Source organism: Homo sapiens, chromosome 3 (genome assembly GCF_000001405.40).
Source record: "Homo sapiens chromosome 3, GRCh38.p14 Primary Assembly".
Classification (NCBI taxonomy): domain Eukaryota; kingdom Metazoa; phylum Chordata; class Mammalia; order Primates; family Hominidae; genus Homo; species Homo sapiens.
The window spans coordinates 21,955,636-21,980,193 of NC_000003.12; the positions used below are offsets into that span (position 1 = coordinate 21,955,636).

Below are 24,558 nucleotides of genomic sequence, written 5' to 3' on the forward strand. Positions count from 1 at the left end.
TCTCAAATTCTGTTTACCCTGCTGCATAGATTCAGCCTGACCATTTAATTAACCCACATGTTATAAAATTGAGTATCTTCGATTAACTCATTGAGTTATGGTGGTAAGAGGGTTAGCTTCATCATTTATTAAATGTCTACTGTATGCCAATTCCATACTGGCACATGCTAAGTACTACTGGTGTGACACAGATAATTCATTCTTTCATAATTCAAAGGAGGGAATATTTTTGTGGTTTTTCACAAGTAGGTAAGAACCTGAGTTTATTGGCCAGGCATAATGGATCAGGTCTGAAATCCCAGCAATTTGGGAGGCCCAGGCATGTGGTTCACTTGAGCTCAGGTATATGAAACGAGCTTGGAAAACATGGCGAGAACCTGTCTCTCTAAAAAAGAAAAAAAATTATCCACGTCTAGTGGCACATGCCCATAGTCCCAGTACTCAAGAGGCTGAGGTGAGAGGATCTGCTTGAGCCCAGGAGATAGAGGCTGCAGTGAGCCGTGATCACACCACTGCATTGAAGACTGGGTGAGAGAGTGAGACTATGTCTCAGGAAACAAACAAACAAAAAAAAGTGAAAGAAAGAAAGAAAAGAAGAAAATGAAATGAAAAAGAAAAAGAACCTGAGTTTATTTATCCAGAGTCCTAGAGGTGAACCAGATCATTGTCCCCACCTGCTGTATAGGGGCTTCCTTTACAAATGTGATATTCCTCCTAATTTTCACACTTATTATATTTTATAATATAATAGTAATAACGAGAAGATAAAGGTATGTTTAAAATGATAAAGTTTGAGTGGGAGAAGAAGAAAAAGGATTGACACTCTACAGTGATCTAATTGTAAATATGTAAAAGGGAGACAACTAAGAGGTAACCTTGGAAAAACTAAATACTTTGCATTATACTTAGCTTTTCAATAACTGGAAGTTCCTGGCCAACAGAGTGACATATTTAAAACAATCTATATGTCAGAGGAATTTGTTCACAGTGGTTAATGCATCCTCTGCCTTTAGGAACACTTATGCAATGGTAAAAAGTGATAAATGATTTTCGTCATTGGAGTAAGTGTTATGGCTAAACATAATCTCTCAAAATAATCATGTAATAAGCCTGGTTTCAAAAAGATGGATGCATGACTGCAGGGGCCAATCTAAGACCTTCAACAAAAGCATTCCTCAAGCAGAAGGCAATCTGTATTATTTATCCTGTGATCCACAGTCTCTCTCCATCAGGTGATCCAATTTAACCTTACCTTCAAGTTTATCATCTGTGGTGATATAGTTTGGCTGTGTCCCCACCAAAATGTCAACTTCAGTTGTATCTCCCAGAATTCCGACGTGTTGTGGGAGGGACCTGGGGGGTGTGGGGGCATAATTGAATCATGGGGACCAGTCTTTCTCATGCTATTCTCATGATAGTGAGTAAGTCTCACGAGATCTGATGGGTTTATCAAGAGTTTTGCTTTTGCTTCTTCCTCATTTTCTCTTGCTGCTACCATGTAAGAAGAGCCTTTCACCTCTAGCCATGATTCTGAGAACTTCCCAGCCATGTGGAACTGTAAGTCCAATTAAACTTCTTTCTTTTGTAAATTGCCCAGTCTTGAGTATGTCTTTACCAGCAGTGTGAAAACAAACTAATATAGTAAATTGGTACCGGGAGTGGAGCATTGCTGAAAAGATACCCATAAATGTGGAAGTTACTTTGGAACTGGGTAACAGGCAGAGGTTGGAACAGATTGGAGCGCTCAGAAAAAGACAGGAAAATATGGGAAAGTTTGGAACTTTCTGTAGACTTGTTGAATGGCTTTGACTAAAAGCCTGATAGCAATATGAACAATAAGGTCCAGGCTGAGGTGGTCTCAGATGGCGATGAGGAACTTGTTGAGAACTGGAGCAAAGGTGACTCTTGTTTTGTTTTAGCAAAACTCACATGGCACAAGCCTACCCAAACCCCAGAGGACATGCATAAGGTATTGCTTGAACTGGTGTTCTGCTTATGTTGGGGAATCACTGCAGGCTTTGTCTCCAGTTCTCTGCCTCCCAGCATAACCATCTGCCCCATCTCCTCCTTATTTCCATCCCATTTTCTCCTACATGGATTTTCCCTCATGGCTTAGAAGGTGATAATGCATTTAGTCTGCCTACCCAACATTTTGCTTTGACTTTTTCTCCTTCAATTCTCTATTATTTAGCCCATAGGTTCTCTCTCCAACCTTCACCACCATTCATCTACTAGTAAATACAATGTCTCAGGAGTAGATGTACTAGTTTCATCAATGTACTAATGTACCACTAATGTTGTCATTCAGAAAAACAGACAGTACTTGAAACAAATGTATTCACATCAGCACCCTGCTTCTCAAGATCACCGCCAGTGTGCCCGAGTGTTGTTCCCCACACATGCACCCACACATTGCCCTTTTAATAAAACTGTTACAATTCACTGCAATGGGCACATGCAGACTAATCTTTATCCTCCCTGAAATTTTTTATCTCCTTATTTGTTTTCAAATTTAATGTAACTAAGCCTTGTAGATCATATTCTATCGTTTCTACCTAAGAATATCAGCGTGCACCAATAATGGGCAAAATCATTTTGTGAGGTGATCACATTAAGAAGACCTATATTTTGGAGTTAGGGACACTGGAGATTGACAATAGAGGTCAGGAACATGGGCTTTGCTGTCAGGCCAGAGCTTATACTTTATTGCTTTCCAGTCACAGGAATTTGTGTAAGTTTCATACCTCAAAATCCAGTTATTCATCCTTAAAATGGAAATAATAATATTTCTCCAAAAGATCACTATTAGAACTAAGTGAGACATATTTATGTAATGCCACCTTGCTGGGAACATGTTACGGGATTAATGAATAGGGGCTCTTATTTTGTTGATATCACTCTTATTTGTAACTGACAAGAAGCTATATATCTAATAAAAGATAAAACCATTGTTCCAAGTCAATGAAAATGAACAATTTTACCTGTAATATAATCCCAGGGTAGAACTAGATTCTATCGCCAAATTCTATTATAACTGCATAACCTATTTTTCTAAATTACTGCAGAAAGCTTCACAATTGAAATAAAAATTCAAATAAATATTAAGCTGTAGAGTGATGGCTTGCGGATAGCAATCAGAGAATTTTCTAAATATAAACCATGGATGTTCACGATATTATTTTTTCTCTCTTAACAGATCCATCTACAAGTATATTTTTTCATTACAAATAATTCAAGAAAAAGAAATCATTGAAGATAAATGAAACATTGTATTACATTTTATGCCAGGTGAGAAAATATAAACCCTAATGTTCTTTCTTTAAAGCCCTGAGATTTCATAATGCAATATTACAAGATAACATCTACTGGGATTGTAGCATAAAATACAGGTTTCTGGTATTTGTTGTTTCTATTTCATGCAGTTAATAAAGTTACTTTTAAAGTTATTTTGCAACTAATAATACAGTTACATAAATGTCATTGCACTTAAAGTATCACAAATAACATATAATTCCAGGCCAGAAATTTAGTATACAGCAATGTGAGAATCTTGTGCTTTTCCTTGGTTAGAGATCTATTTAAATCAGCAAATAGGAATAAAGTGTAGTGCCTACAACAGATAAGAAAAACACACTTCAAATAATAAGGCAAAATGCACTGGCAAATAAAAACAAATGAAGATGCTGAATGCAGCTAAGGAAATGCAATTGCTCCTTCAGGATATTTTTTTTTCATTTGTCCAGCCAAAACGGTAAGAGAAAATAATTTATAAAGCTGTAAAATACTATAGTGTTTGTGAGGAACCAGTCAAAAATCCAATCTCTATCTTTCCCCTTCAGCTGAGATTGAAGGCAATCAACACATTCATTTCAAATTGATATTTTCAGAGTGCTGGAAAGAACCATGTAAGGTACTTGCCCTAACTCCAGTCACAGGAGTTGTACTCAGATGTACTCAGAAGTTGTTCAGACACAATGCAAGGAGCCTAGTCACCATGGTCTCCTGTCACCATGGAAGATGGGGCTAGCCCCATGGGTGGGTACACAGAAAAGGAACCTTGGGCCTGTGAGGCTGTCTGAAATACTTGAAACAAGAAGGATCTAGGAAGGTAACTTATTTAACTGCTCCCCTCACTCCAAGGCAAAATAGAGAATCTGACCTAGAAAGAGAAAATCTGCAAAAGGCAGAAGCTTTCTTTGTCTAACTCAGTTCTGGCTCACTAGCCTCTAGAAGAGTGTCTGGCAACAAAACTCAACTCAAAATGGATTAAATACTGAAACATAAGACTCAAAACTATAAAACTGCTAAAAGAAAACATAGGGGAAATTTTTCAGAACATTGGAGTAGGCAAATATTTGATGGCTAAGACTTCAAAAGCACAGCCTCCAAAAAAAAAAAAAAAAAGACAAATGGACTATTTTAAGCCAAAAATCTTCTGTACAGCCAAGAATACAATCAAAAAGTGATGAAAAAAAATCTGTAGAAGGGAAGAAAATATTTGCATTCTATACATCCAACAAGAGACTAATATCCAGAATATACAAGAAACTCAACAACTAAACAGCAATACACACACACACCCTCCCCAACACAGACACTCACAGAACAAATAATCTGGTTAAAAAGTGGCAGAGGATCTAAATAAACATTTCTCAAAAGAAGACATACAAATAAATGGCCAACAAATATCCAAAAAAAAATGCTCAATACCACTAATCATCGGGGAAATACAAATCAAAACTATAATGAAATATCACCTCACCCCAGTTAGAATGGCTATTACCAAAAAGACAAAAATAGCAAATGCTGGTGTGGATGCAGTAAAAAACGGATCCCTTGTACACTGTTGGTGGAAATGTAATTAGGACAGCCATTAGGGAAAACAGTGTGGAGATTTCTCAAAAAACTAAAAATAAAACTACCATAAGATCCAGCAATCCCACTACTGGTTATTTATTCAAAGGAAAGGAAATCAGTATATAAAAAGGACACCTACACTCCTTTGTTTATTGCAGCACTATTCACAATCGCTAAGATATGGAGTTAACCTAAATATTAATCAACAGATAAATGGATAAAGAAAATATGATATATATATACACAATGGAATACTATCCAGCCATAAAAAGAATGAAACCCTATCATTCACAGCATCCTGAAGGATATCATATTAAGTGAAATAAGTCAGGCACAGAAATAAATACTGTATGTTCTCGCTCACATGTGGGAGCTAAAAAATACTGAGCTCTTGGAAGCAGAGTAGAATCGTGGGTATTAGAGGATATGGAGAAGAGGAGAATAGGAAGATGTTGTTTAAAAGATATAAAATTACAGCTAGATGGGAGGGATGATTTCTGCTGACCTGTGGTGCTATAGGTTGATATGGTTAACTATAATTTATTGTACATTTTGAAACAGCTACAAGAGAAGATTTTTGATGTTCATAACACAAAGAAATAATAAATGAGGAGACACGTGTTAATTATCCTGATTTGAGTATTATACACTGTATACATGTATAAAAATATCACTCTGTATGCCGTAAGTATGTGCAATTAGAATATGTCAACTAAAAAAATAAAAGAAAATAATTTTTAAATGAATGCCTGGAATATAAAAAAGGTCTTGGTATTTGGATATTAAATAAATGAATGAAAGAACAGAAACTTACAGGAATTTTCTTTCCTGTCATCAATTTGGCCAATTTTATGTGGCATTTGGAAAATATTCGACTTAATAAAATTTTAAATTAATTCTTTTCTCTTTTTGATTGTCAACAGGTATTTTGCCAAAAAAATTGTTTAAAAAGAAGCCAGTTTAATTAGAAATATGAAGTAACTATTGAATTGTTCTATTTGCAATGAAATAAATTGTAATCATGCAGGAAAAATTTCCTTAGAACAAACTATAGTGATAAATAAATTTATTTCACATTTTAATTTTAATGCCTTTTATTTTTATAGAACATTAAAATGTCTAAAGTAGGGCTACATACATTATTTCATTGATTGTTACATTTCAATTGTTGAAAAACTGATTACCTAATATTTTGTAAGTGAATGGATTGCATCCATATAGGATTCTAACATGATCCAGGGATTCAGGAAAGGCATTTCTTGAGACATTAGTTCTGAAGAATACACACAAATCCATCATTTAGTGGGAGAGTGCACTGGATGGGATGGGGAGCAACTCTGAAAGAAGGAACATTTGCAGAAGTTGAGATAAAAATGACCATAGAGCTTATGAGAAATTGAAAGAAAACTGTTATGACTAAAAGGAAAAGAATTAAGGAGAAAAGTCACCGCAAAAAGAAGTGACATGGGTTTTCAGGACAGCACACAGGGTCTTGTGGGCCAGATTAAGGAAGTGAGCCTTAATCCTAAGAGCAACAGAAGACACTAAAAAGTGTAAAGCAAGGGTATTACCTGGTTATATGGGTGTCTTTCAAAGGTCCATCTCATTAAAGTGCAGAAAACATATTATGGGCAATAAGAGGAAGGCAACATAAAGCCAGACAGAAAATGTTTAAGAGGATATTGCTGGGAAGAGATGATTATGTATTTGGCTAGAATCCTGGTGCTGGATGTAAAGAGAAGTAGAGAAATGAAGATTTCAGAGGTAAGATCAATAGGTGAGGGGAAAATGGTATGTGTGGAAAAAGAGGGGTAGAAGGTAAATTCTAGGTTATCAATGGAAACAACAGGGGATGGCAGAACCACTCCCTGCAAAGACATCTCTGCAGAGAGCATACTTATGGAGAAAAGTTCACTGAAGTTTAATTTTGGAAATGTTAACCTTGAGGTGCCTGCAAGGCATCATAGCAGAGGTGTCAAGCAGGCAGCTTAGAAATAGCACATTATGTTCACAAAAAAGGTTTGGTCTGCATTTTAAAAGCTTTGTAGAGAGAATTAGTTTCCTTCTTTTTTAAGAACATAAAATATGGAAGTACTGATTTTTTTCAGATGGAATGCAGCAGTTCAGCTCCCAGAAGGGAAATGTGGTCAATATTTATGCTGGCTTCTTGCCAGTGCTATTAACTGGTGAGGTGTCCAATTCTCTGTGGAAAGGTATTTTTTTGGAACCAGATGATTTTCTTTTTCTGTCTTATAATTTCGTTGCCTAGCATACATTCTCATATTTTCTGTGGTTTTAAAGTTGTTTCCTGATGAGGGAACATTAATATGTACTAGGGAAATGTTTCATTAAACAAAGTTAAAATTGATTTTCATGTTGCAAGACATCTTGGAGTCACCATTACTCTAATATGTGAGGGCGACCATGTAATAACACATTTTCCAAATATTTAAACACCAAACACTTTCTCCAAGATTATCTCTGACAACTAGTGTTTTATAAATTATTCTCTGGGCAAATATTTGTTAAACAGTAGCCTTGCTTGGAGCAGTATCTTTTATTCAATAGTTTTATCCTGGTTCAAAAACCCAACCTGGCCTTAATGACCCTTTCCCAAGAAATTTAATACAATTTTCCTGTACATAAAATGCTCATTTTCTTTTCTGGATATTAAAGCTGAAGCAAACCGGATGTTCCACTTATAACTCTGTGGCAGCAGTCATGTGGGAGAAGTTTATCACCTGTGTAGGTCACTGTCATCTTTCATTCTTGTGGTAGCATTGGGTCTATGTGAGGGTGTGTTCGGAGGTAGGATTAAAGCAGTGGCCAGGAGAAGGATGAACAGTACTTAGTCTACTTTTTCAGATTGTGATCAACTCTACGTAGAACCGCAGTAGCGTGCAGAAATGTAGTTAAGGATAGGGAGGGGAAAGAGTTCGCATCTTACTTTATTTACTGCTTCTATCATTATCCAAATTAACATCCTTATTGCCTAAGATTCTGAACATAGTAATCCATATATAAAACTTCTGATCTCAATCTATATTCTGAAAAATGAGACCAATCAAAACACCGAATTCCACTTGTAAGAACAAGTTGTTTCATACTTTCCTGCCGCTGGTGGTTGACAGTTTCTCCATTCATACGCCTTTAAGTTATAATACAATGAATATACAAGACATCTCTTTATATTACAGACCTCTTTATATTAGATTGGTGCAAAAGTAATTGTGATAACCTAATAATAACTTTATGTTTTTCTTCTCCTCAGTGATTAAAAATGTATGTATGCCCAGAATTCTAGAGATATAAATTAAAAGCAACAACTTGTAAATTAAAATAATGGCCCTGGTGATGACACTGATCAAAATAAAAAGAAAAATTCAGAGCAGAAATACAAGAACTAACTCAGAGCAATTTTAGAATGGCTACTAATATTAATGTTATTTTATGTTAGATATTATTATAGGTACAAAATGTCATGAAGACATTAGTACAAAAGCGACTAAGTATTACATTAAATATTCATTTAATTGCGGGCAAAGTATTCTGCACAATGCTTTGGAATATAATAAAAGGTGGTTATCATCATTTCCTACTTAACCCTTCTAATTCAATCTAATACAACTGGCCCACAAATCATTTTATAATCTTCAGTAAAGAATGAACAAAATTTCATTAGCCAGGATAAAAAAAATCAAGGTAAGTTTAAACTATTTCAGATATGAGATACAAATTTCTCCTTCTGTGTCTCCTTCATTCGCTAAAAACTGAAATTGGCATCATTGTATGTGTGAAAAACTATAGATATTTTTACAATACAAATGGAAAAAAAAAGAAAGAAAAATCCCTGAGCTCTTCCATAGCACTTGCTTCAGAGAATCTTTGTAACTACTGGCTCTACAGTTGGTCCTTTTTGTAAAAAAAAAAAAAAAAAAAAGAAAAAAAAAAAAAGAAAAAGATGTCCAATTTCTCAGATTTTTTTTTTTTTTTTTTTTTTTTTTTTTTTTTTTCTGAGACGGAGTCTCACTCTGTCGCCCAGGCTGGTGTGCAGTGACACAATCTTGGCTCACTGCAACCTCTGCCTCCCAGGTTCAAGCGATTCTCCTGCCTCCGCCTCCTGAGTAACTGGGTTTACAGGTGCCTGCCACCATGCCCTGCTAATTTTTTTGTATTTTTAGTAGAGATGGGGTTTCACCATGTTGGCCAGGCTGGTCTCGAACTCCTGACCTCAGGTGATCCACCTGCCTCGACCTCCCAAAGTGCTGGGATTATAGGCATGAGCCACTGCGCCCAGCCTAATTTCACAGATCTTGAAGTAACATAATTCTTTGTTGTATGTTCAAAGGTAATAATTTCTATTCTTATTATAAATATATTTGTAGACAAATGATATGAGACTGTGAAATATCCTCAGAAGCTACTGAACATAGGAAGATGCATATATTCATGTATTTAGCAGATAAAAATACGTTAGCACTTAGGTTTACATCATTCCATTCAGTTACATTTGTATCTTAATAATTGGCAGCATAATTAATATTAAAGTTGACACTAGAATCAGAAAGCACAATGCCTGGAAGATTGAAAAATTTTAGAGACTGAACACAGTATGAAGAGAAGAGATCTATGATGAAGAGACAGCTTTGGAGCTTAGAATTGCAAATTAATATCTTATGTAACTTTGGTGATTAATAGACTCTGACCCTAAGTTTCTTTATCTGCAAAATGGGTTTAAGGATAATTAGATTTGAAGTTGTAGCAAGGATTAAAAATTAAATAATATGCATCAAATGAATGCCACATATTGGTATGTGTCTACTCAAAAATCAATTACTGAGTACTTACTGTGTACCCAGGCACAGTACTAATGATGGGGAAACACAAATGAGCAAGACAGATACATTTCCTAGACATAACGTGCCAGAGCGTACAGTAAGTAGCTAAGTAAAAATATGCTTTTAAAAAATCTAATATCAGAAAAAAAACTGAAGAACATCCCTCAGAGTAACTGGCTTGTACTCTTCACAGATGTCCAAACAAGAAAGATAAAGAAAGGTTGAAGAATTGTTTCACAATAAAAGACTCAACATGAAAACTAAATGCAGTATATGAGTCTAGATTGGATTCTGGACATGGGAGAAATAACTAAAAAGGACATTACCAGAACAACTGACAAATTTAAATATAAACTGCAGATTTGGCAATGTTATATCAACATTAAATTTCCTGATGTTGATAACTTCTGTGGTAAGAGGATATCCTTATTTTTAGAAAAGACACACTGAAGTATTTAGGGATAAAAGGGCAAAATATTTCCAACAACACTTAAGTAGCTCAAAAATATGGAAGAAAGAAGGGAGGAAGGAATGGAAGAAGAAGAGATAACAATAAAGCAAATGGGAAACCTGCAAATAATTAGTGAATCCAGGTAAAGTCTAGATAAGAGTTCTTTGTACTATTCTTGTAAATTTTCTGTAAGTTTGAAATTATAGAAAATGAAAATACACTTTGAGGGAATGTAGAAAAGTTTACAAGTATTCATTTTCTTCTTTCCTAGATCTTTACTCCTTGTCTCTCTAGAGTAAATTTTGCAAATCTTATTTTGAATTTCAGCAATAGATACAGAGACATTTTTGTAGGTTCTCCATACTGAGTAGTGCAGTTCTATCTCAATGGATTTGATGAAACCAATAATTTATAGTATAGGACTTTAGGTAGAATGATGTTACAGGCTTGAATGAGCTGAAAAACATCCCCTAACATCTAGCACAGCTTTTAAAGCTTGTATTTTGTTTGGAAAACAAACTGAACTGGTAGTAAATTTTAAAAAGCATGTAGACATTTTAAAGCTAAGGAACTAACTTCACCTTCATTTCCTACCATACCTGAAAGAGAAACTTTAGGCTGGTAAAGACGCATTTGTGGCTTTCATTTTAATTACCCTAACATTTCTTGGACTGGTTTGGATTCATCACATCCAGCAGAGGCTTTATAATCAGAAATTGTTCACTGTATTCATTTCCTGATTAATTGTGTCCCTATAAACCTATTGTAAACCTATTGGTGTCAACTAGCAGGTTTACTTCTTGTTTGTTTGTTTGTTTGAGACGCAGTCACACTCTGTAGCCCAGGTTGGAGTGCAGTGGTGCAATCTCGGTTCACTACAATCTCTGCCTCCCGGGTTCAATCGATTTTCCTGCCTCAGCCTCTGGAATAGCTGGGATTACAGGCACGCACCACCACGCCCAGCTAATTTTTGTATTTTTAGTAGAGATGGAGTTTTGCCATGTTGGCCAGGCTGGTCTCAAACTCCTGGCCTCAAGTGATCTGCCAACCTTGGCCTCCGAGGCCGAAGGATTATAGGGATTATAGCGCTGCGATTATGGGCTTGAGCCACAGCCCCTGGCCTAGCAGATTTACTTCTAATTTTTTAGAATGAGTGTGCATGCACATGCACGTGGATTTATGAGTTTTGTGTGTGTTACAGCACACAAATATGAAAAAAATTCTAAAAGAACACACATAAATTAAAATCTGTATAGTAAAAACTATTAATTCAAATAATAGTGAAAAATTCCATACATTGTATGATCTACAAAGAAAATGTTTACCTTTAACTTGTGAAAAGTGGGTATTGTAAAATATATAATCTAGATGTGATGTAATGGTCATTACTTTAAGCATTTCTTTAGCTTTGGCACTGTTTAGTCTCTTTTTATCTATTTCAGTCCTGGGGAAGTAAATAATTTCTGGTCTTTTCTCGTCAAATTTCTTAAAATTTGATAATTAAGAAAATTTTTTCCCCCAAAATTTACTGTCTTATATGTTGGCAGCAGCTTTATCTTAAAGCCACTTAAGCATTTATTTTAAAAATTGAATAAATCAAAATTCAAGCGTGGAACTTCTACTTCCAGCTATTTTGGATTATTTTATGGCAGAACAATAATCCTGTTAAGAATTAAATATCTTGATGAAATTTTAAACAATGGATCTCAAATCACTACAGAGCTGCTAAAACAGCTGGTCCTAAAGGGCCAGTTCCTGGAGAGAAGGAAAGCTTATAGAGGGGAGCTAAATTTTCTGCCCATTGGCTTCTTCCTCAGGTCATTTACTGATTTTTGACATATGCCAAGATATGACTAAGCTAGTTAGAGGGGCTCCTAAGACTTCTAACACACAGAAGACCTTTCAGTGTTTGCACAGGGCTGGGGAAACAACAATTAGAGTTCTGAACTGCCAAGGCATTTAGGACTTGAGTGACCAAAATTCCAATGGCAAATGAGGTTCCTAAAAGAGATTGGGAGGAAGTTGGAGTAAGATGGCTGAACAGAAACCTCCCGTGATTATTCCCTCTACAGGAGCACCAAATTGATTGACTATCCATACAAAAACCACCACCATAAGAACTAAAAATCAGGTGAGCAATCACAGTATCTGTTCTTAACATCATGTAAGGAAAGAGACACTAAAGTGGGTAGTTTTAACACCATTTAAGGAAAGAGACACTGAAGTAGGTAGGAAAGAAAGTCTTGAATAGCTTACACCACCCCTCCCTTACACCCCAGCTGTGGGTGTACGGTGCAGAGAGAGTATCCATGTGCTTGAGGGAGAGAGAGGAAAGGGATTGTGGGACTTCACATTGGAATTCAGTGCTGCCCAGTCACAGCGGAAAGCAACATCGGGTGGAACGCAGCCAATGCCACCACGGAGGGAGCATTTAGACCAGCCGTAGCCAGAGGAAAATTAACCATCTCAGCAGTCTGAATATGAGTTTTGGCAAGCCCTCCACCATGGGCTAAAGGGCTCTGGGGTTCTAAATAAACTTAAACGGCAGTCTAGGCCACAAGGACTCCAATTCCCAGGCAAGTCCAGGTGCTGTGCTGTGTTCAGAGCCAGTGGACTTGAGGTACACATGACCTAGTGAGACATCAGCCTAGGAAGCCAAGGGAGTGCTTGAGTCATCCCTCCCCCAGCCCCAGGCAGAAGAGCTCTCAAGTCCTAGAGCCTCATTCCTTCTGTCTGAGGAGAGGAGAGGAGAGAGTAAAGAGGACTTTGTCTTGCATCTTGAATACCCGTTTCAGGCCCTAGCTGTCATACTTTATTTCTAGACACACCCTGGGCCAGAAAGGAACCCACTGTCTTGAAGCAAAGGGCCAAGTCTTAGCAGCATTCATCACCTACTGACTAGAGAGCTCTTGGGCCCTAAATAATCAGCAATGGTAGCCAGGCAGTACTTGCCGTGGACCTTGGGTGAAACTCAGAGCTATGCTTGCTTTAGGTGTGACCCAGCACATTCCAAGCTATGTTAGCTAAAGGGAGAGACTCCTTTTGCTTAAGGAAAGGAGAAAAAAAGTAAAGAGGACTTTGCCTCACAGCTTGGATACCAGCTGGGCCACAGTGGTGTGGAGTACCAAGTGTTTACTGGGGTCTCTGATTCCTGGCCAAGCTGCTGGATGATATTGCTGGACTTGGCTTGGGCCAGAGGAGAACCCATTCTCCTGAGAGACACAGATCTGGCAGCTTTTACCAACAGCTGACTGAAGAGCCCTTGGGTCTTGAGTGAACATTAATAACAGCCAGCAGTAATCTCCACGGACCTGTGGTAGTGGTGGTCATAGGGAGAGACTCCTCTGCTTGTAAAATGGGGAGGAAAGAATGGTAAGAACTTTTTTGTGTGACTTGGGTGGCAGCTCAGCCACAGTAGAATGAAGCACCAGGTAGATACCTGATATGTTTAGGCTTTGTGCCCCCACTCAAATCTCATCTTGACTTGCATAATCCCCACGTGTTAAGGGAAAGACCAGGTGGAGGTAATTGAGTCATGGGGGCAGTTTCCCCCATTCTGTGCTCATGGTAGGGAGTTCTCACAAGATCTGATGGTTTTATAAGGGGCTCATCCCTCTTTGCTCGGCACTTTTCCTTCCTGACACCTTGAGAAGGAGGTCCTAGCTTTCTCTTTGTCTTCAGCCATGCTGAGCTGTGAGTCAATTAAATCTCTTTCTTTTATAAATTACCCAGTCTTGAGCAGTTCTTTATAGCATTAGGTAAACGGACTAATTAATACCCGCGGTGCTTGACTCCAGGCCCTGGTCCTGGATGACATCTTTGGAATGGCCTGGTGCCAGGGTAACTCATCATCCTGACGAGAAGGAAACGAAGCTGGCTGGATTCACCATCTGCTTATTGTAGGGTCCTTGGGCTTTAAGTGAACACGGGCAGTAGCCAGGCAGTAGTCACCATAGGCCTTGGGCAGGACTCACTGCTATGCTGGCTTTGGGTCTGACTCAGCATAGTTCCAGTGGTGGTGGGTGGCTTCAGGGGTGCCTGTGTCACCCTATCTCAGCTCCAGACAGCTCAGAAAGGGATAGAAACTCCATTTGTTTGGGTGATAGTAAGGGAGCAGAACAAGAGTCTCTGCCTGGTATTCCAGAGAACTCTTCCAGATTTTACCCAAGACCTCCAATCCAGTATCTCTATAAGTCTGCAAGAGTTACTGTGTTATTGAGCTTGGGTGTCCCCTAAGGCAGATATAGCTGCGGTGATGAAAGATTTACATTACAGCACCCAAGACCATCTGAATACTTGGAAATGCTTCCCAAGAAGGACAGGTACAAACAAGCTGAACTATGAAGGTAAGAATAAATATATAATTCTTCAATACTCTGACACCAATAACACTGACAAGCATTAAAACCATCCAGGAAAACGTGACTTCACCAAATGAACTAAATAGGCATGAGTGACCAAACCCAGAGACACAGAGATATGTGACTAATAATTCAAAATAGCTGTTTTGAGGAAACTCAAAGAAATTTAAGATAATTCAGAGAAGGAATTCAGAATCCTATTAGATAAACTTAAAAAATAGATTAAAATAATTTAAAATAATCAAGCAGAAAATGCAGTTGACATACTGTAAAATGCATTAGGGTCTCTTAACAGCAGAATTGATCAAGCAAAAGAAATAAATAGTGAGCTTGAATACAGGCTTTTTGAAAATAAACAGTAAAAAGACACAAAAGAAAAAAGAATGAAAAAGAATGAAGCATGCTTGGAAAACCTAGAAAACAGCCTCAAAGGGCCAAATCTAGGAGTTATTGGCCTTAAAGAGTAGAGAGAGAGAGAGAGAGAAATTGAGGTAGAAAGATTATTCAAAAACATAATAATAGAGAACTTTCCAAACCTAGAGAAAAACATCAATATCTAAGTACAAGAAGTTTATAGAACACCAAGAAGATTTAACCCAAGGAAGACTGCCTGAAGGCATTTGATAATCAAACTCCTAAAGACAAACATAAAGAAAGGATCCCACAAGGAAGAAGAGAAAAGAAACAAATAACATGCAATGGAGCTTCAATAAGTCTGGCAGCAGAATTTCCAGTGAAAACTTTACAGGCCAGGAGAGAGTGGCAGGGCATATTTAAAGTGCAAAAGAAAAAAAAAACTTTCATCTTAGAGTACTATATCCAGTAAAAATGTTCTTCAAACAAAGGAGAAAGAAATAGTTTTCCAGACAATCAAAAGCTGAGGGATTTTATCAACACGAGACCTGTCCTACAAGAAATACTAAAGGGAGCTCTTCAATTTGAAAGAAAAAGACATTAATGAGTAATAGGAAATCATCTGAAGGTACAAAACTCACTGGTAATGGTAAGTACATAGAAAAAACACAATATTATAACAAACACTGTAATTATGGTGTATAAACTACTCATACCCAGAATAGAAAGACTAAAAGATGAACCTAGCAAAAATAATAACTACAACAACTTAAGACATAGCATAATAAATAAATGGAAAAAACAAAAAGTTAGAAAACAGGATGATGATGTTAAAGTGCAGAATTTTTATTAGTTTTCAATTTACTTGCTTGTTTTTTGTTTGTTTATGCAATAAAGGTTAAGTTGTCATCAGTTTAAAATCATGGGTTATAAGATATTACCTGCAAGTTTCATGGTAATCTCAAATCAAAAAAAATAATGGATACACAAAAATAAAAAGTAAAAGATGAAAATATACCACTAGTGAAAATCACCTTCACTAAAAGGAAGACAAGAAGGAAAGAAGGAAGAGATGGCCAAAAAAATGAAAAAATGGCAAGAGTAAGTCCTTACTCATCAATAATAGCATTTAATGTAAACAGACTAAACTCTCAAATCAAAAGACATAGACTAGCTGAATGAATAAAAAAAAAAAGACCCAGTGACCTGATGCCTACAAGAAACACATTTCACCTATAAAGATACATATAAACTGAAAATAAAGGGATGAAAAAAGATATTTCGTGCCACTGAAAGCCAAAAAAGAGCAGGAGTGGCTATCCTTATATTAGACAAAATAGATTTAAAAACAAAAACTATGAGACAAAGAAGGTCACTATATGTAATGATAAAGGGATGAATAAGGAGATATAACAACTGTAAATATATATGCACCCAACACTGGGACACCCAGATATATAAAGCACATATTATCAGAGTTATCAAGAGAGGTAGATCCCAACACAATAATAGTTGGAGACTTCAACATCCATTTTCAGCAGCGGAAAAATCATTTAGACAGAAAATCAACAAAGAAAAATTGAACTTGATATGCACTAAGAACAAATGGACCCAATATATATTTATTATTTTCAGCCAATGGCTGCAGAATATACATTCTTTTTCTCAGCATATGAATCATTCTCAAGGATAGACCATATAATAGGACAAAAAGTCTTAAAAATTTCAAAAGAAGAAATTGTATCAAGTATCTTCTTTGACCACAATGGAATAAAACTAGAAATCATTTGGAAAGTAAACAAATACATGGAAATTAAACAATATGGTCCTGAATGACCAGTGGGTCAATGAAGAAATTAAGAAGAAAATGTAACAAGTTCTTGAAGCAAATAAAAATGGAAATACAACATACAAAAACTTACGGGACACAGCAAAAGCAGTACTAAGAGGAAAGTTTATAGCCATAAGTGCCTATATAAAAAAAGTGTTAAAACTTCAAATAAACAACCTATTGGTGTATTTTAGAGAAGTAGAAGATCAAGAACAAATCAAACCACAAGTTACAAGAATAGGAATAATGAACTTCGGAGCAGAAATAAATGAAATTGAAAGGTTAAAACAATATAAAAGATGAACAAAATGAAAAGTTGTTTTTTTGAAATTATAAAGAAAGTTGATAAGCTTTAACTAGACTAAGAAAAAAACAAAAAAGACCTAAATAAACAATGTTAGAGATGAAAAAGGGACATTACAACTAATACCACAGAAATTCAAAGGATGACTAGAGGCTACTCTGAGCAACTATATGCCAATAAATTGGAAAACGTAAAAGAATAAATTCCTAGACACACAATCTACTAAGATTGAACCGTGAAGAAATCCAAAACCTGAATCGATGAATAACAAGTAATGTGATCGAAGCCATAATAAGAAAGTCTCCCAGCAAAGAAAATACTAGGACCCAGCGGCTTCATTGCTGAATTTTACCAAAGTTTTGAAAAAGAACTAATATCAATTTTAATCAAACTATTCTGAAAAGGGGAGAGGGAATACTTCCAAACTCATTCTATGAGATCAGGATTACACTGATAATAAAACCAGAAAACACCTCAAAGAAAAAAGAAAGTAACAGGTCAATATCCCCGATGAACACTGACGCGAATTTCCTCAACAAAATACCAAACGACCAAATTCAACAATACATTAAAAAAATCATTCATCATGACCAAGTTGGACTTTTTTCCAGGGATGCAAGAATGGTTCAACATACAGAAGTCAATCAATGTGATATCTTATATCAGTAGAATGAAGGACAACAACCATATGATAATTTCACTTGATGGTAAAAAAGCATTTGCTACATTTTAACATTCCTTCATAATAAAAAACTCTGAAAAACCTGGATATGAAAGGAACATACCTCAACATAATAAAAGTCATATATGACAGACTCACCGCTAGTATCATATTGAACAGGGAAAAACTGACAGCTTTTCCTCTAAGATCTGGGATGAGACAAGGATGCCCACTTTCACCACTGTTATTCAACATAGTACTGGAAGTACTAGCTAGACCAATAGGAGAAGAGAAAGAAATAAAGGCCATCTAAATTGGAAAGGAAAAGGAAAGAAGTAAAATTATCCTTGTTTGCAGATGATATGATTTTATATTTGGAAAAACCTAAAGACTCTGACAGAAAACCACTAGAACTGATAAACAAATTCAGTAAAGTTGCAGGATACAATATCAACATGCAAAAATCAGTACCATTTCTATATGACAACACCAAACTATCTGAAAAACATATCAAAAAACTAATCTCATTTATGATAGCTACAATTAAAATTAAATATCTGGGAATAAAACAAAAAAGGTGAAAGATCTCTACAATGAAAACTATAAAATATTGATGTAAGAAATTGAAGAGGTCAAAAAAATGAAAAGGTATTCTATGTTCACAGATTGGTAGAATATATATTTTTAAAAATGTATATATTGCTCAAAGCAATCTATATATTCAATAAATGCCTATCAAAATACCAATAACATTCTTCACAGAAATAGAAAACATAATCCTAAAATGTATATGGAACCACAAAAGTCCCAGAATAGACAAAGCTATCCTGAGCAAAAATTTGAACAAAACTTGAGGAATCACATTACCTGACTCCAAATTATGCGACAGAGATAATGTAAGGAAAACAGTATGGTACTGGCATATAAACAGACATATAGACCAGTGGAACAGAATAGAGAACCCAGAAATAAATCCATACATCTACAGTGAACTTATTTTCAACAAAGGTACCAAGAACACACAATGGGGAAAGGACAATATCTTCAATAAGTGGTGCTGGGAAAACTAGATATGCATATACAAAAGAATAAAACTAGACCCCCACCTCTCACCAAATACAAAAATCATACCAAAATGGATTAAACACTTAAATCTAAGATCTTAAGCTAAGAAACTACTAGGAAAAAATTGGAAAAACTCTCTAGGGCATTGGTCTGGGCAAAGATTTCCTGAGTAATACTCTACAAGCACAAGCAACCAAAGCAAAAATGGACAAATGGGTTCACATCAAGTAAACAGCTCCTGCACAGTAAAGGATACAATCAACAAATTGAAGAAACAACCCACAGAATGGAAGTAAATATTTTCAAGCTATCTATCTGATAAGGGATTACTAACCAGAATATATAAGGAGCTCAGACAACTCAATAAGAAAAAAAACCAATCCAATTTAAAATGGCAAAAGATCTAAGTAGACGTTTCTCAAAAGAAGGCACGCAAATGGCAAACAAGGATATAAAAGTGTGCACAACATCACTGATCATCAGAGAAATGCAAATCCCACCTACACTGAGATATCATCTTATCCCAGTTAAAAGGGTTTTGTCCAAAAGACAGACAATAGCAAATGCTGGCAAGGAAGAGGAAAAACGGGAACCCTCGAACACTGTTAGTGGAAATGAAATTAGTACAACCACTATAAAGAACAGTTTGGCAGTTCCTCAAAAACACTAAAAATAGAACTGCCATACAATTCAGCAATACCACTGCTAGGTATGTACCCAAAAGAGAGAAAATCAGTATATTGAAGAGATATCTGCACTTCCACAGTTTGTGGCAGCACTGCTCTGCCAAGATTTGGAAGCAACCTAAGTGTCTGTCAACAGACAAATTGATAAGGAAAATGTACATATACACAATGGAGTACTATTCAGCCATAAATATAATATCCTGTCATTTACAAGAACATGGATGGAACTGGAAGATATGTTAAATGAAATAAGCCAGGCACAGCAAGACAAACTTCCTATGTTCTCACTTATTGGTGGGAGCTAAAAATTAAAACAATGCAACTCATGGAGAGAGAGAGTAAAATCGTGGTTACCAGAGGTTGGAAGGGTAGTGAGGATGGGAATAATTAATGGGTTCAAATATATGGTTAGATAGAATGAATAAGACCTAGTATTTGATAGCACAACAAGGTGACTACACTCAATAACGATTTATTGTACACTTTAAAATAACTAAAAGCATATAATTTGGTTGTAACACAAAGAAAGGATAAATGTTTGAGGGAATGGATACCCCATTTACTTTGATGTGATTTTTACACATTGTATACTTTTATCAAAATACCTCATGTGCCCTCTATGAACCCACAAAAATATATACCTATTATGTACCCACGAAATATATATATATATATATATATATATATATATATATATATATATATATATATACACACACTATGGTATCCACAAAAATATATATCTACTATGTAACTACTATGTACCCATGAAAATAAAAAAAAAATTAAGTGAGATTGGCAATCAATACCTGTTCTTCCATTGAGTCATCTGATTAACTACACAGGACAAGATGCAAACGAGCCAAGCATCAAGTGTGTTGAAAAAAGCCAAACATACTTGAAGGGTAATATGAAGTTTTCAGCATTTCCACAGTTCTAGGGAGACCAGACTTCTACTTCAGAGCCTTCAAAGAAGAATGGCCCTAGCAAACACTCAGGCTCTAACTGGGACACCTTGAGGGATGCACCATGTATATGGGGAAAACTAGAGGGATCCTGAACCTTACTGAAGCTGCAGACTAGCCAAAGTTATTTCAAGATCTGATCAGATTTGAGTGATATACCTCTTCTTGGCCTGCCAGAGGATAGGTTAAATTATCACTAAAATTTCTCATTCAGAAGACTGGTAATGACAACACATTTTTTTTAGAGATATTAAGTAATAGGACCAGAAGAAAAAATAGACAACAGAAACATATCTACATGTGACACAAATACTACAGTAATAAGAAAACAAATATAAAATAGTTTTGATTAGTATCTTCAAATAAATAAATGACCAAGTGGAGAATGATAAGAGGATGATCACATGGAGAATTTTGAATTGAAAAAATACAATAACTAAAATTGATAGCATGATAGAGGGACGCAGCTGAAGATAAATGATCTGGAAGATAGATCAAAAGAAAATATCTAGACTATAACAGGAAATACACAGAAGAGTACAGGAGACATATGTAACAGATAATCACCAAAAACATGTACTACATTGCCTATGGTTGTGTTATTTATAACAGCCCCAAACTGTCCATTAACTCCAGAATTGGTAAATATATTTTGGTACATCCATAAAATGGAAAATTATTTTGCACTGAGAAATAATAAACCAGCTGGGCAGGTGTCTCACGCTTGTAATCTCAGCACTTTGGGAAGCCAAGGCATGCAGATCATGAGGTCAGGAGTTCGAGAACATCCTGGCCAACATGGTGAAACCCCATCTCTGCTAAAAATACAAAAATTAGCCAGTTGTGTTGCATGCCTGTAATCCCAGCTACTTGGGAGGCTGAGGAAGGAGAATTGTTTGAACCTGGGAGGCGGAGGTTGCAGTGAGCCCAGATTGTGCCACTGCACGTCAGCCTGGGCCACAGAGCAAGACTCCATCTCAGGAAAATAATAATAATAATAATAAACCACTGCTACATATAACAACATTGATGAATCAAACATGGTATTGTACAAAACAAACCAGGTACAAAAGAGTACGTGTTGCATGATGCCATTTAAATAAAACTCAGTATTAGGTGGAACTAATCTATGACTCTAATTAGAGGAAGATTGATTTCCAAGGGACAGCACTGTGGGGCTGCTAGGGGTGTTGGTAATATTCTATTATTTGACTTAATGGTAGTCACACAGATATGTTTACTTTGTGGAAATCCATTGAACTGTACACTTATGATTTGTGTTTGTGTGCTTTTGTATATACATACTACATTTCAATTAACAAAAAAAAATTTGTTTTTAATTAAAGCTTGAGTATGGTGGTGGTTGTCTAGGGGGTTCCACAGCTAATAAACTCCCTCTGAATATTGGTTGTATTTGGCTTTCAAGGAACACAAAGAATTAATCAAGGGAGAGAAGTTCAAAGATGAAAAACAGTAATAAAGATAGGGTGGGAACTGTGTTTGCAGGTCTACCTAAAAGACTACTCAGGGCCTGGTGTGGTGGCTGATGACTGAAATCCCAGCTATTTTGGAGGCCATAGTGGGAAGAGTGCTTGAGGACAGGAGCTAGAGATGATCCTGGGTAACACATGAAAACGCCATCTCTAAAAATATATATATAAAAATAATCATAATAACAAATTAGCTGGCATGGTGGGGCTGTCTATGGTCCCAGCTACTCGGGAGGCTGAAGCAAGAGGATCGCTTGAGCCCAGCAATTGGAGGTTACGGTGGGCCATGATCACACCACTGTACTCTAGCCTGGGCAACAGAGCAAAACCCTGTCTCTAAAAAAAGGAAAACAAACAAACAAAAAAGATGATTCAATAGCTCTGTACATCTTTGGAGAAACGAGTAGAATGCAGGCTGTTTAAGGGCAAGCACACTGCCCCACCAATTCTCTCCTCTGCTTTTTGTTCAGCAGACCTGGAGGTAGTTGGTATAGCCAAAGGAAAGAACTAGATACACCAGATATTAATAGTGACACTACTAAAGAATTCATAAATAAACAATATATCAGACCAGTCTTCTCTTCCAGATAGAGAAATACTTAAACTACTTTTACCCTGTTCTGTTTTGTGTTTTTATTAATCATCTCCAGAGGTAGGATGTCTTTGAAACCTTTTATGCTGCTTTATTGCTCTTTACTGCAATCTCTTAATTCTAGATTCAGCTTCTTGAGAGCAGTGTCTGTTTCTTACTTTGTTGCAAATGTACATTCACCAATCAGGCACTTGTTAAAAAGTAAGTACTAAATCAATGTTTGCTGTCTATCTGTTACTGGTATGATCTAAACCTAGGATTTAAATTAAGGCCAATATTGTGGAATATTAGATATGCTACGTGTTTTGCCTTTGCTTTTTAATTTATTTATTTTTGCTTTAAAGGGGGAGAAACATAACCCAGGAACTATGCCATCACTGGCAAAAGTAGATTAGGATGTGGGTGTTCTGGTGTGACTTAAGTTATTGCTAAATTGTCTCAGAGCTTAGAAGTTTGTCTGTGATCTGAGACATACGTTTGTAATCAGATTTTGCTTTTGTCTCCAGACTAGGCCTGATATTAGTAAAAATTTCCATATGTGTTCTTATTCAATTACTCTTTTATGAGTACAAGACATTTCTATTATGTCTATGTCTCTAGATAGCTCATTGTAAATTTAATCAAATTTACATATTTAAGCAAATTGGCAAATTAACACCTTGAAAAGTCTTCTCGGGGAGCAAGGCTAGATGGCATGTGAAAGGCATGTTTAGGTGCTCAGCATTATGACAAATGTTTCCTGCATTAGTGACCTTGACTGTATAAAAATATTCACAAATATTCAACTTAAAAAAAATTTACTTTTCCCAAGAAAAGTAAAATATGTGAAAAAACAAAACATATTTTCTTCATATTAATATCTAAAATTGGAAATTTAAATTTGAAAGCTTATTTGCTCAGTATGCAGCTTCCAAAATTCAGGCTCACCAGCTCCAAAAGCCTGCTCAATGGACAGGTGACACTTAGCACAATAGAAAATAGTTGTGACTATCTCCAGTACATGCCAATTTTTTTTCAATGGTGACCCTGACCAAATGATACACAGTTAATAAATCATTTGCCTGTAGAATAGTCTGGGCTGGGTCCAAACATTTGTAAAAAGGAGGATATGGGGGACCATGGGGTATTTTGTTATTGCCCTGTATAACTGCACCAAACAGAAGGGGGAAAAAAACCCACAAAATTCTGTGCTATTATATTATGTATATTTAACCCCACATGTCACTATTAATCATAACCATATACTATTTTTTCATTAAACAAAACCTTACAGGTAACCTCATTGTAGACATAAGAAAAACTGAGGTGTGAGATTGAGCTTTTTATCCAATATTTGACAGCTAGTTAGCCACTAAGCTGAAACCACAACTCAGTTACGCTGGCTCACAATAAGTAAGTTTTCCTCTAACAAATTGTGGGGCTAGTTTTTTACAAAATATGTGGATTTACAGTTTCATATAAATAGAGCTGGAATAAAACTCCTGCCTCACTTCATTAAACATTTACTTTCTTACAAGGTTCAAGTATGTTTGTCTCATAGGTGCTTGAAACGGCAAATAATAAAGACGACTACTTTTCAGATATTGTATCTCAGCAGAGATGCTGAAAAAAGAAAGAGAGAAGAATGAGGTCTTTGCAGAAAGATTGGAAGATGAAGAGGAGATAAGTAGAGAAAGAAAGCACCAGGATGGAAAAATATGGGTCTTGCCTTCACCAAATGAACTTGTGTTTCAAAACATTGTATGAGCATTAGTCACGTATGTTTGCATAGAGAGTAACTATTGCTGTTGTGGTGGCCTTAAAATTCCTTGATACTCCTCTCTTCAAAAGGTGTAACCTAATTCTGCCTCTTCTTACTTATGGGCTGGACTCAGTGACTCATTTCAAAATATGGTAGGAGTGATGCTGCCTGACTTTCAAGACTAGGCCATAAAAGGCATTGTGATATCTGAGCAAGATGGTGGACTTCCTTTTTACTTCTTTGATCCTTTTCTAGGTTAAGCTAGCTATATTGTGGGGTTATTAAAGCAGCCTTATAGAGAGGCTCTTGGGGCAAGGAACTACTAAGACCTCTTGCCAACAACCAACAGTAACTTTCTTGGC

The 24,558-nt window shown here is 36.2% G+C and overlaps 1 protein-coding gene and 1 long non-coding RNA gene across 9 annotated transcripts in view, besides 2 other annotated features; one reads left to right on the forward strand and one right to left on the reverse strand.

Annotated features, from left to right (window-relative positions):
• Positions 1 to 24,558, reverse strand: part of ZNF385D (zinc finger protein 385D) — a 960,546-nt gene that overhangs the window by 543,418 nt on the left and 392,570 nt on the right. The window lies entirely within an intron of this gene.
• ZNF385D-AS2 (ZNF385D antisense RNA 2) lies at positions 1,504 to 24,193 on the forward strand. The gene is made up of 4 exons (NR_046876.1): positions 1,504 to 1,557; positions 3,197 to 3,288; positions 22,580 to 22,656; positions 23,996 to 24,193. It is a non-coding gene; the product is annotated as a ZNF385D antisense RNA 2 (long non-coding RNA).
• Positions 15,084 to 15,253: an enhancer, noted in NCBI's record as "experimental_68192 CRE fragment used in MPRA reporter constructs". NCBI's record gives its function as "activates a minimal promoter by MPRAs in K562 erythroleukemia cells, with activity observed for both the introgressed and non-introgressed 3:22012296 or rs13086764 variant alleles {active_cell/tissue: K562}" and the evidence as "EXISTENCE:reporter gene assay evidence [ECO:0000049][PMID:34662402]".
• Position 15,169: a transcriptional cis regulatory region, noted in NCBI's record as "Neanderthal adaptively introgressed variant 3:22012296 (GRCh37/hg19 assembly coordinates) or rs13086764 in the experimental_68192 CRE". NCBI's record gives its function as "modulates activity of the experimental_68192 enhancer by MPRAs in K562 erythroleukemia cells {active_cell/tissue: K562}" and the evidence as "EXISTENCE:reporter gene assay evidence [ECO:0000049][PMID:34662402]".